We start from the raw sequence: 13,857 nt of genomic DNA on the forward strand, positions 1-13,857 counted from the left end.
GGACTAATGCAGTCCTCTTGGGATTAAATTACTTTGTTCAAGACTAGGTTAGTTCTCACAAGAGTAGGTTGTCATGAAGCAGGCCAGCCTGCTTCATCTGCCCTCTTTTTGCATGACTTGCTTTCCCTTTCAATTTTCCACCATGCCATAAAGCAGCAAAAGGCCCTCACTAGATACAGCTCCTTGATCTTGAACTTGTCAGCTTCCAGAACTGTGAGCCAAAATAAACCTCTTTTCTTTATTAATTACTCAGTCTCAAGTATTCTCTTATAGCAAGAGAAAACAGACTAGTACACAGCCCTTCTGCAAAATAGGGTCCAAACATCTTATGCTCTTGGTCACCCTTGGGCTGCTTGCACAACAAGCATTTTACCATTTTCAAAACTCATTCTTTTGAGTTTCAAAGTCTTTTCCTAGGTTAATGGGATCTCAAAGATAATAACAAAAGTATCCCATCGTTCTACCTTCACCTGCATAATCCTCTCCACCCAAGTATTTCAGGGAGTGCCCAGAGGATGTTGCACATGTGCTCAGAGTACTCATGTTCTTTTGTTCTGACTGGTCACCACAACCAGACACCACTGCTGCTCCTACTGGCGTCTTGCCTCTTTGGTGGACATACTGATGTTTGTACCGTGGGTCTTTTAAGAATTATCTATTCTATGCTGTGATCATTAATTTTAGGTGTCAACTTAGCTAGATTATGGTGCTCGGTTGTTTGGTCAAACACTAGTCTAGATGTTGCTGTGGAAGGATTTCGTAAATGTGGTTAACCTTTACAATTAGTTGAATATAAGTAAACCCTCCACAATGTGGGAAGCTCTCAGCCAGTCTGTTGAAAATCTTAAGAGCAAAAACTGAGGTTCCCCAGAGAAGAAAGAATTCTGCCTCAAGACCGTAACATGAAAATACGAAGTTTCTGAGTTTCCAGTTGCTGGCCTCCCCTGTGGACTTCAGACTTGCCAGTCACCAACAACTGCATGAGCCAATTTTTTAAAATAAATCTCTTTCTGTATATGTGTCTCCTAATAGTTCTGTCTCCTTGGAGAACTTGGACAAACACAGATATTTATGTCAATGGTACTCTGATACTCTGAGCCTTCTCAATTCTTGACGTTCCAAAGCTTATGGATGTCTTTGCAGGGAGAAGGTCTCTTTCCTTCACTTGTATGGTTAATCACTCAGGCCCAAAGTGACCCTCCCCATCCCTCCCTGAGTCTCCATCTACCCAAGATGTTTCGTAAAGACTTCTCTCCTAGCATCCATCTGTAGCAATCACTTCACACTACTTAATTACAGGTCCTAGAAGGTAGAGGGCCAATATTCTTGCCTGAAGCTGCATAAAGGGTTGACACCACATTTACTTTGCTCACTCATGTGCCCCAGTTCCTAGTAAAATACTGCCATGTAGTATGTACTAAATAAATACTTATTGATTGACACATTGAGACAGATACTTCCTACTCTCTGCTTTACTAGTCACTTTCTCTAGATCCAACAATCCAAGTGTAAATCAACTCCTACCTGTCCTGCCTACCACCAGCCTGTTCATCAGACCAAGTCTGAGTACCACTTTAGGCTCTAATTGAAGAAGCAGGGCTAGGCAGTCCCCTTCCTCTCTGGCTGGAATTCATCACCCCACCTGCTCCCTTCCCACAAATCTTTGCCAAGCAGAATCCAGCTCATTTGTCTCACTTTGCATTTTAATTACTTTTTTCCACTATCTTCCCAACAAGAATGAGTCCCTGGCTTATTTAATCTTCTCAGTGCCTCAAATAGTACCTGGAACCTCTTATATCCTTAAGTAATTTTTCATAAAAGAAAGAATGGATGGAAAAAGAAAGGAAAAGAGGAAGGCAGAAGGAATGAGACAAAGGGAAAAAATGGAAGAGGGAAAGAAAGGGGGAGTTGATTTGAGAAACAAATCCCTAGTTTTAAGGCCGCCTCCACCCCTGCTTGGAATTGCATTTCGTTTTGTCATATTCAGGTAACAAAATTTCTCCAAGCTGGTAAATTAATTACTTTCAGAGTCCTATTAATTTTAAAACTGTTGATGCAATACATTGAACAGGATGCTTGTGGCTTGAAGGAACAGAACAGAAGCTAACTTAAAACCTGAACCTGAAAACTCAATTCACTAGACTAAATTTATTTCCTACACTCACACTCCAGATCAGTCACTTAAGGCTGTAATGGAGAACAATTATATTGCATGATATATTTTGACTAATGAGAATGTGGGAAGGTACTTCTGCGACTGCAATGCACGTGGCTTCTAATATGGCTAAGTGGGACTGATGCCTGGTTTGCTGAAATCTAGTGTTAAAATTGTTGTATTTGCAGCCACATCCTAGAGAGACTCAGATGGAAGAATCCTCTACAATTAGAATGTCAAATCACACTTTTTCCTCTTCAAATTGCATTTCTAAAAATAAGATAATGAAAACATGTATTTGTGTGGGAGAGGACTTCTTGTGGAAGGCTGCAAATAAGACACATGAAAATGTCTGTGCTCAGAAACCCCATTCAGGAGGAGACTTTCACTGCAGGGAGCTTCTCTGCCATAAAGAAGGTTGCACAATGTGTTCTGTGCACAAAAGGGTAGCAGCCCAGGAAGCTGATTGCATTTCTAAGCCTCTAGAGTGAAAAGGTATGCAGACAACATTGTTTTACTGGTTCAGGCTAGTTTTTCCTCTTGCCTGTCATTTAATCTCAGACATTCCTTGAAGGAGTTGGGGAAAGACTTCTAAAGATTACTAAACCATGCAGCAGCTTTAAACCTTTAAAATGGTCCACTACTGAGTACGTTTGGTGGCCACTAGGTAACGGAAGGCATCTAAGAAGTCCTGAAGTAATCCCATAGGATTTCTCCCATCCTTCTTTTCCCCAGCTTCCCCAGTGCAGATAAAACTAGATATAGTAAAAAGGTTTAGGGTTGTCATTAGTGATGAGTGAAAGACTCAGCTGATCTGTGAGCTTCCTTCCTTAAGGAGACTATTTCTTACTGATGTGAGTGACTAGAGGCCACCTATCTTTTGGAATAAAAGAAAATATCAAGTGGAAGGAAAAGTTTGGAGAAAATCATCTCCTTAAGATTTTTTTTTTTTATTTTTTATTTTGGAGAAGTGGTATTTTTAAACCCAGAAATAGGCATTTGGAGTGCCCCTTTCTTTCTTTTCTAAAGTTAATGGATATTTTAGAAATATAATATTTCTCTGACTCAAGTGAAGATGTGAGTCAAACTTCGTTTGAAGCAAGACAGAAATAATGTTTTTATTTTAACAATCAAGTACTTACTAGGAGGTAATTAGCATGCTAGGAACCGAACCAGCTATAAGTTGTTGAACTACATATTGTTATGGAGATTACTGGCAGTATTTTGAAAACATTTGCTTTCATTGCTTCCTGGATTTCAAAGTTGCTATTTGGGATCTTTTTCCTTCTCTCTGAAAAAAAATCCTTTTAATAATTTTATTTTTTAGTTTGGATATGCTAGCAATGTATTCTTTCCATTCTGGGCTTTTGAAATGTCTTAATTTTTTCTTTATTTTTGAGTGTAGAAATCTTGGCTGTCAGTTACTTTCTTTCAGCACTGTATGATGTGATTCCATTGTTTTATGATTTTCATCATTTTGATGAGAAGTTATTTGATAATCCTGCTGTTGCTCCTTTCATTTCTTTCTCTTTACCACCTCCCTCTACTTTTAAGATTTTTTTTGTCTTTAGATTTCAATAATTTGATATGATGTGTCTATAGTTTTTTTTATATTCACTTTGTTTAGGGTTCTCAAAATTGAAACTGTCAGTTTTTGTCTTCACAAGTTTCAGAAGATTTTTAGTCATTATCTCTTCAAGCATTGCTTCTTTTTTCTCTCCTGGGATGTTAATTACATATATTTAAGACTTTCCTTTTGTCCCACATGTATCTATGCTCTTTTATGTATTTTTATTATTTTCTTCTTTATTCTTCAGTTTGGATATTTTTTATTGACTTGTATTATATTTTAATAATTTTGTCTTCTGCTTGTCTTTTGATGTGTTCAATCCATTCAGTTAGTTCTACATGTACATGTATACACATACATATATATCGTAAAAATATATAAACATAAAATATGTGATATCTTGTATGTAACTGGTTTGATATATTTCACTATCTTAGTAAGTTTTAGTAATTGTGTTGTTTTAATTTTAAAATTTTTATTTGATTCTTTTTTATATATTTTAATTCCTTGTTAAAGTTTTACTTTTTTATCTATTTGAAAAATTTTCTCCTTATTTTTCTTAACTTATAATTCGTAGTTATTTTTAAGGATTTTTTTCTGTTAACACTAATATCTGGATCAACTATGCACCTATTTCCATATCTAGTCTTTGGGTGTTTGGACATGTTATTTTCTTTCTTGGCATACCTAGCGATTTTTTAAACCATTTGCTAAACTTTGTATATAAAAACAAATTGTAGTAGCTTCAGTCGAAGTTTGCCCTTTATTCTGCTATGCAGATAGAGTTAAGGCTGTTTCTTAATCCAAGTAAGGGCTATGTTTCAATTTGGGTAAGTTTCAGTCTACTCTTGGTTCACCTCCACTCCCAAGCCCTAATCTTCCTGAGAGCTTGAGAATTTCATGGAGTCTCTCACCCTGGCAGGCCCCACACTCTTTTGAGATCCTCAAAACTCGGCTTTGCCTTTGAGTTTATCTACTTAGCTTCTAAGCCTGCTTGCCTAGTTTCAGGATTTGGCACAAGTTATAAGAGAAAAATTGGTTGTATTATCAGGCTTAGTTCTCTATTTCTCTCTTGTTACGAGTATCTTGGCTCGTTAAGTCTCAAATCTTGTCTCACTGGCCTTACAAAACAGTAAAAATCCTATTCACTTATCTGTCCCTAGCAGTGGGCTTCTGCCTGGGCACAACCCAGGTTTGCATGCTCTTGCGCTGAGCGCAGAATCATCAAAACACATGCACGATGTGAATGTGCCTTTTTCTAGTTCTTCCCTTGCCAGAATCGTGTCCCCTCTGGTTTTGATTATTTGAACAACTTTCCGATGCCTTTACACCTGCTATTATGAAAAAAAAATCTGAATTTTAAGTTATTCTTGGTGGAAATGTTGGTCTGCCATCATACTGGATTTCTTTTGCAGGCAAGAACTGTTCACAGCAGCATCTAAGATGCATCAAGTACTGTTTAAGGCATGAGGAGTGTAAAAGCAAATAGAGTCGATAAATTCTTAGGGCAGATTCTGTTTCTTCAAGAATGTGTTTCTGTTCTAAGTTTAATTGTGTCCCCCTGAAAAAGATATGTTGAAATCCTAACCCCCGGTACCTCACAATGTGATTTTATTTGGAAAAGGGTCATTGGTTAAGATGAGGTTATGCTGAAGTAGGGTGGTCTCCTAACCTATTGTGAGTGCTATTCTTATAAGAAGATGGCCACATGAAAACATAGATACCCAGAGAGAATACCCACAAGAAGATGGAGACAGATTGGAATGATGCATCTACAAGCCTACAAATTCCAAGGATTGATGGCCACCACCAGCAGCTAGGAGGAGGCAAGGAACGATGCTCCCCTACAGGTTTCAGGAGGACCTGCACTCACCTTGATTTTAGACTTCCAGCCTCCAAAACTGTGAGACAAAAAATTCTGTTGTTCAAAGCCACCCAGTTTGTTATCCTTTGTTAAAGCAGCTGTAGGGAATGAATATAGGTCCTTTGCCTTTAGAAATCAGAGAAGCTACTCTGAATAAGTGAGACAGAATAATTAGGAACTCCTGTGGGAAAACAGAGATGGAAGAGGGCTTGGAGGAGAAGAGACAGCAAGTTAGAAGCAGTGGCTTGACAAAATGCTTTGTGTTTCAGTGTTTGTAGTATTCAATGTTTGCGGTACATCCTAGTAACATGACTTTATTGGTGTGATTAGGTTTTTTGAAGCAACCGGAGAAGGGCTTGAGAACATTGTCCAGATAATTGTGGGATAAAACCAAGTTAACATACATAGGTGTCAGAGGGCAGAAGACCTATGGTACTTCTAAGTCCCTGGCATTCACAGAAATCTTAAGGATTTTCGAATTCCACTGGCTCTGAAAATTTTCTTCAGTGAGAATGAGGAGGGTTATTTTTAAGAAATTTATCTGGAACCCAAGGATCATGACATATAAGTTACTCATAAGTTCATTTACTTGATTTGTAGCATTTAGTTCAATATGAGCTATATTCTGAAGTCATACTTTAGAAGGTTAGTTACTTTTCCTAGTTATTTTTTCAAGCATAATGCCAACTATATTAGTCAGGGCAGGCTAGATTAGGCTGCAATAATAAATTTGCCCTACAATCTCAGAAGTATAACAAAGGGCTATTTATTTTTCATGCAATATGTCTAATGTGGATAGTAATGGGAGATACTCTGCACCACATGGTACTCAGGTACTCAAGATGATGGAGGCCCCACTCCTTGGATCATCAACATTCACAATAGCAAGGGACAGGAGAATATGGAGAATCGTGTGCCAGTAAATTCTTTTGTGGCCCGGAAGTAACACACATTACTTTTGCTCATAGCCCATTGATCAGAACTAGTCAGATGACTCACTAAGCTACAAAATAAATGGGAAATGCAAGTCAACACATAGAATATTTTGGTGTGTACTATTGTCTTTGTTATTTCCCCTTAGCCTATAAATTAGTTACTATTACTATCCCCAGTTTACAGATGGAGACATTTGAGGCATAGAGAAGTTAAATAATTTTCCCAAGGTCACATAGCAGGTGAGCAGCTGAGCCAGGACTCCAGTGCAGACAATCTGGATTCACAAGGCTATGCTATATAGTACGGAGAGGAACGAGTGGTCAATATGCTTTTGAATCTTGGTCTTCCTAGTGCTCCTTCCCTTGCCCCCATAGAGTGGGGATTTCATTACACTTCTGCTTCCTAGAGTAATATATGAAGAATTGTTGAGTGGAACATGTCTTTCACTCTTTTCTGGAAAATGAGCAAAACAGATTACTTCCCATGAAATCTTTCTTAACTAGCTAAAACCGATCTCTCCTTGCACCGAACCCTCTTGTACTTGAACTGCATTGCAACAAGGAGAAATTGAGGAGAAACGATTTTTTTCATAATCCTGTAATGCCCATTGGTCTCTCTGCCTAACACATACATGTGTCCACATACATATACATACCTCTTTGTTATGGGCAATTGACATATTCTCAATCTTATGTATAGTGCTGGTCAAATATGGCTTTTAACTTCACCTCTAAGCAAATCGTGGTTCCTAAACTACTACTTCTATGTAGAAGTTCTGGTACTACTGTTAACGCATTTGGGGTTTCACTCTTTAGTTTGAAGTACATATACAGTTTTGAGTACATACCTTGTGCTTCTATATTGTGGGTGTGGCAGTACAAGATCCACTTACTCTCTCTATGGAGTAAAGGCAGGACCAATAAATATACAAAGAAGTATATAATCACTCACTGTAACCTTCCCATGGTTGACTCCCCTAACATAGTTGTAAATTTCTAGAAGGCATTTGGCATGTTTTATGCTTATTAGGTCTTCCCACCATGCTTTGTTACACCCTTTTAGTTGATTATTAATTATTTGGCCATCTGGACAGGAGAAGACATTCTAGGTTTAAGGACTTCTTGGCAGAAGAAGTTCTCTGAAGCTGATACAGATTCCTCCTTGGTTCCAACTTTTTCTATTTTTCCACTTAGGAAGACATTTACATTTTTGGGGTTGGCTTATGATGTGGTCAGAGGTTGATTTGTTCTATTAGAGAATTTATGTTCACCCATGAAATTCAAAGTACTAAACTGAAGTCAGAGGTATCATTTTCTATAGCCAACTAAAGTGAAGCAGGTAAGTAAAACAGTTTCTAATGCAGGTGATCATGCTGAGCTAGCACAATGCAGGTTCCATCTCAGAGACCCCTGAGCAGTAACTTGTCCCAAATAAGCTAAAGGGCTCTTTTAACCAAGTTAAGCTCCCTCCTGCTTTCTGACCCCTGAACAGGGCAGATTTCATCTTATATTCCAATATGACACCACTTGTGTTATCACACTTGGGACCTGGTTAAAGGAACTTTTATTGAACTACAGCCTCTCATACTGCCAGGAATTCTCTTGTCTTGTTACTTAATAAGGCTAAGAGCTGCATTGATGTTAAAGTGACCACATGACCTGAGCCCAGCAGCCTGCTGAAAATAGTGCTGAAGCCTTAGGAGAAAGAACTGTGCCTTTTCGGTGAAAGAATGGGCTTACGGTACACCCTAGGAAGGAGGATGCTGGCAGGAAGAAAATAATGTGACAACCCTAACTCTTCTCTTTTCTATGCCAACCAACTATAGTTTAACAGCCTTTTCCATGAGCAAGGCATTTTCCCTTTCTGTTGTGTTGCTGAGACAAAGAAATATTTCATCTGTGTTTGAATGGATCACATTTTGTCTGCCTTTGCTTCTAAATTAGGGGTAAGTCCAGAGAAAAGGAAGTAGGTGCCTCCCAGGTTATAGAAAACACTGTTGCCAGTGTGTTTTTCCAATGTGAGTAAAGACTAGAACATAACCCCCTTAGAAGTTTATATGCTTAATTTGTAGTTAGGACTGTCCCAGTTATCAAGAATACAAATGGAAATCTATAATCCACTCTTTGTTACTGTTGTTTGTTCCATGTAGGCAAATGTCCATAGGTGTGTTGCTAAAATAAAAATCTGAACTACCGGGGAAGTAATTTATTCCCTAACCTACTGTATTAATTTCCTATGACAGCTGTAACAAATTACTACAAATTTAGGAGCTTAAAATAACAAAACTGCAAACTATCTGGTGGTTTGGATATCCAAAATCCAAAATGGGTCTCTCTGGGCTAAAATCAAAGTGCTGGCAGGGTATGTTCCTTTCTGGAGACTCTTGGGGAGACTGTTTGGCAGCCTTTTCCACCTTTTAGAGACCACTTGCATTCCTTGGCTCATGGCCCCTCCTTTCCTCATCAAAGCTAATAACATTGGTCCATCTTTCTCACAATGCCATCTTTCTGTTTCTCTTCTGCCTCTCTCTTCCCTTTTGAAGGGCCCTTGTGATTACATTGGGCCCACTTAGATAAAATAAGGCAATCTTCCTAATTAATTTCAGCTGATAGCAACCTTAATTTCACCTGCAACTTTAATTCTCCTTTGCCAAAATAACGTAAAATATGCACAGGTTCTGGAGATTAGGTTTTGGGCATCTATTATGGACTGAATGTTGTGTCTCCCCAAAATTTATATATTGAAATCCTAAGCCTGAAGGTGATGCTATTAAGGCAATTAAGTCATGAGGGTGGAGCCGTCATGAATAAGATTAATGCCCTTATAATAAAAGAGAGACCCCAGAGAGCTTTCTAGCCCCCTCTCCATCATGTGAAGATACAATGAGAAGATGGCTGTCCATGAACCGGATGCAGGCTCTCACCAGACACTGAATCTGCCTCTGCCTTGAACTTGGACTCCCCGGGCTCAAAGAACTGTCATAAATGAAAGGTTATTGTTTAAGCCACCCAGTCTATGGCAACTTGTTGTGGCATCCTGAATTAAGACAACATCTTTAAGGAGCCATTTTTCTTCCTGCCACGGGCATTAGGAGGTCTTTTCAAGTCTTTTAAAATTGGATTTTTTAAAATTCCAGGCCCTACACCCTGTCACGGGTTTTTATCTGTAAAATTTTTAAGAAGGAATCTTTGAAGTTAGCTCTCCACAGAGTCTTCACTGGTCTCAATTCAGTGTCATAGCACAATATTCTCAATTTCACAACTTAAGCAGCTAGATACAGGCATTGATTATCAACTAACTATTTCATGAGATGAGGAATTGTTGGTGAATTACTTATTGATTCTATATGGCTGTGACATGATTGTCTTTGCTATACTGGGGTCTTTGCACTGACTTTAAGATAGGATGAGATCTGAACTCGTTTCCAATGCGACTTATTCCCTCATCCTCAATAGGTTGCTCCTCTGAATATCTGATCTTTTCCCAGACAGATAGACTGGAAACTTTGGTGTCATCTGTGACATTCCACAGTGTCTGTTCCCAGAGCCCTGACTCCCAGGATGCACCATTTCCCTAATTACTGCAATAGCTTCTGATTGCTTGCTCTGATTCTGATCTTTTCATGCTTCTAGTCCATCCTGTACACTACATCCAAAAGAATTTTTCTAAAATATGTTTTGGAAATTACTGATTCTTGTTTCATTATTTACTAGCTGTGTGACCTTGCAAAATTACTTAACCTGTCCAGGAGACTGACAAAATAGAGCTAGTCACAATATCTGCCTCTAGGGATGCGATAAGGATAAAATGAAATGTAATTCATGTAGGGTACTTAGGCATATATTAAGCACTCAACAAATGTTTGCAGATATCATTGCGATGGCCATTTGCATCATTGATGTATTAACCAATGCGAATGCCACCTCTGTTCCTGTCTGCCCCATCCCTCTGGCCCAGTCATCCCATGTGGATATATTGACCTCTTCCCTGCTTTCTTCCCCTTCATCTTCCTGCTACTCACTAACCATCTACAGCCCTTAGACCCAGGACATCTATTCTGCTCTTGGGCAGGCAGAGGTGGAAAGCCTTCCTTTATCTCATCAAGCTGTCTTGCCTGCACATCCTCTGAGCCTGAGCTTCTGAAAACTAAAAGGCCAGACTTCAAACTTCAAAAAAAGTTTATTTTCATTTTTATTCTGTTGACCCTTCCAGAGTTTGAAGCTCCACTGTTTGCCTTGAGTGGGGGAAAGTGCCAGAATATAAATAAAAAATAAATACCTGCCCCTAAACACACACACACACACACACACACACACACACACACACACACACACACAATCTAAATTATTGAATTATGTGGTCTAAGAAGTATTTTTAATAACAATAACAACAACTGACACTTATTAACCTCTTTTTACGTGCCAAGCACTGTCTTTGACCCACAACCCACCAATTCTATCTTATCTTTGGCCCCTTTTCCGTGGAGCTTCTGCCTCAGATATCTGGTTTACTCCCTGCTTCCGGATTGGCCTTCCCACCTCTGAGTCTTTGCTTCTGCTATTTCCTGTTTTCCTTGTCTGGACTGCCTTCTTTCTTCTTGTTCATTTATCCAAATCCTCCATATTATTTGTTGTTTTTGTTTGTTTGTTTGCTTTTTAAAGAGTCAGGGTCTTGTTCTGTCTCCCAGGCTGGAATGCAGTGACACAATCGTGGTTCACTGCAGTCTTGAACTCCTGGACACAAGAGATCCTCCCACCCCAGCCTCCCAGATAGCTGGGACTACAGGCATGTGCCACCGTGTCCGCGTACCTCCTAATTTTTTATAGCCCATCTCTAACACTTCCTCTGACCACTCTGAAAGCCATGGTTCCTCTTTTGACCAGGCACTGTGGAAAAATGAAACAAAAGAAAAGGACCTTGCCACTGAAAAGCTAACCAAGGAGACAAGACCAATACAAGATACAGCAGAGAAAACTCCACAGTACTGTTAAACTCTTAGGTAAAAAAATCATAATTGCTTTTCAAATGAACTCAAGGCATAGTCAAATGACCAATTATAATCCTTAATCAACACATGAATGGACTTGACAAAATCCTTTCACCCTCAAAGCAGAATTCTGTTATGAGTTTTGATCCTGTTTAGATTCCTGTGTATAAATTTGTTCAGGAGCTTCCCATTTGCAGCAAAGCTGATGTATACAAAACAGGATTTACTAAACATTTTAGGTCGTGATTAGTTCCACCAAAAGACTCACCATAAAATTTCTTCTAAGAAGCAAAGCTTATTTGCTAAATAGATTAAAAGGTGATTTGGTTCACAGAATCATTTTGTTTACACAGAATTTCAGGACAGATAGCCATTGCATAAAACTGAGGCAAACTTATAATTACTTTACCAAATAGCCTGGAGTGCCATGAGTTAATACAACTCCCTAATAAGCTTAATTCATACCCAGGAAGTAGCCTGAATTTAAGTTTTGGTAGAAGGTATTAACAGAGCATGTCCAAAAGATAATTAACTGCCCATAGTCATCAATTTGGTTACCTCCGGAGGAGTCTCACTGCCATCTCTACTCATCTGCGGATTTATTTATGAATAATGAGTCACTACAAACAGAATGATTAATCCATAAAAAGGAGAAATCTTGGAATTTAGACTGGCTCTCTTTCCAGAGTAAGTTTTCTTAAATGAGATTTTTCAAACATGAATGAGCTTTAGGGAATTCTCAAACACTGGAAATTATAAGCTAAACTTTGTATGTGTGTATTTTTTGTGTGTGGAGAAGATCCATAACTCTGATCAGATTTTTCAGAGGGATCCATGACAACTCGCCCCTGGCTCCCCAAAAAAGTCACTGCTTATTTTCCCATGAATGAGCTTCAGGAAGTTCCATGAGCCTCTTTGATTTGTATCACAATCTTCTTTGTCACATATACCAAGAACAAAGCCAACTAAGGTGCCCAAACTCTCAGTCACCTTCATTGCCCCTCCTTCACTCTCCTCTACTTTGTCATTAACATTTACCCATTTTGGTTCTGAGAATTTGACTTTATACTGAATTTCATTAATGCATTTTCTTGAGTATTTCACCTTTTGAGGCATTTCTGCCTATTTTTATAAAGACCAGTTTGGATTGTGCACCTTACAGGCATCTGAGCGCCTTGAGTGAAATGGTCTCGGGATCATCTTGCAGTCATCTGCACCTTGTACAAATTCCTCCTTTCAGAGTCCTGGTGGTCATTTAGAGATATATTATGCAGACATATTATACAGTGTGACCTTCCTGATGTCTACTAATTCAGTGAGTGTGAATTCACCTGTATTGTTCTCATTGGTTTATTTTATCTTTGCTATATTTTTTCTTTCTGTATTGAAGATTGAATCACATAACAGAGTATCACTGGTACTGTATATCTTTTTATGAGTGTTATCCTAATGCTAAAACAGAAAAGAGCTCAAAAAAAAAAAAAAACCTAAAATGAGCAGGCAGGCAAATAACCATTTAGTGGCCTAATTAATAAAGAGAAATCACCGTGTTGGATTATGTTATGATAATGAATGTTGACTATTGAGAAAATTGAGCCCATTTTAATGGGATCTGATGTTGTTTTAACATAAATGCCTGTCAGTTTGGAGGTTGGGAACACGAAACTTTTTCTCGTTGAAATTGTAATAATATTTTTGACAAATAGCCCTACAGATTTATTTTCAGGAAAAATTATTCTCCGAAAGATGGTACAAGACTATTTTGTCCTTGTTCTGTCTAGAAGGACTTGTTTCCAATGTTTTTTGACCCATGACTATAGCTACCCATCTAGTTTTAGGAAAAAATTTAGTGTGCAGTGTATACAATGGCCCATTCTTCCTAGTGACAGGCAAGTGACTCTTTGTTATTGTTAATTATGTCTCTAAAAATCTCACACTGTAAACACGAATACCAAACGGAAAAATGAGGATCAATGATTGTCTTACAGAACTTTAGGTAGATAAGTTCCCTCTTTCTTTAGAATGCCCTAATTTTCATCAGCATCAACTAAAAGTGCCAAAAATACAGGCATAAATCTATTGGACATGTGTGTGCATATGTGTACGTGTGTGTGTGGGTTGTGTGTGTGTGTAAGATGAGGTTAATTTAGCAGGATTGAGAAGCGGAAACATTGTTATTGGCTCCAAGGTGCTGCAGGAAGATTTTGACAGATGCTGTTTACTGTCATCAGAGATCTGACTCAAGCTTTCCAGAGAAAGGTCATTAGTGACACCCAACAAATCACTTTTGTGTTGTGGCCAATGTGAAAGTCAAATGGAAATTGTTTCTAAAAGTCAATCAGAGC

The 13,857-nt window shown here is 38.5% G+C and overlaps 2 annotated features.

Annotated features, from left to right (window-relative positions):
* Positions 1,728–2,704: an enhancer, noted in NCBI's record as "OCT4-NANOG-H3K27ac hESC enhancer chr12:97524650-97525626 (GRCh37/hg19 assembly coordinates)". NCBI's record gives its function as "activates a minimal SCP1, AML or CMV promoter by ChIP-STARR-seq in naive and primed H9 embryonic stem cells {active_cell/tissue: H9 hESC(naive and primed)}" and the evidence as "EXISTENCE:reporter gene assay evidence [ECO:0000049][PMID:30033119]".
* Positions 2,705–3,679: an enhancer, noted in NCBI's record as "OCT4-NANOG-H3K27ac hESC enhancer chr12:97525627-97526601 (GRCh37/hg19 assembly coordinates)". NCBI's record gives its function as "activates a minimal SCP1, AML or CMV promoter by ChIP-STARR-seq in primed H9 embryonic stem cells {active_cell/tissue: H9 hESC(primed)}" and the evidence as "EXISTENCE:reporter gene assay evidence [ECO:0000049][PMID:30033119]".

This window comes from Homo sapiens, chromosome 12 (assembly GCF_000001405.40).
Source record: "Homo sapiens chromosome 12, GRCh38.p14 Primary Assembly".
Classification (NCBI taxonomy): Eukaryota; Metazoa; Chordata; class Mammalia; order Primates; family Hominidae; genus Homo; species Homo sapiens.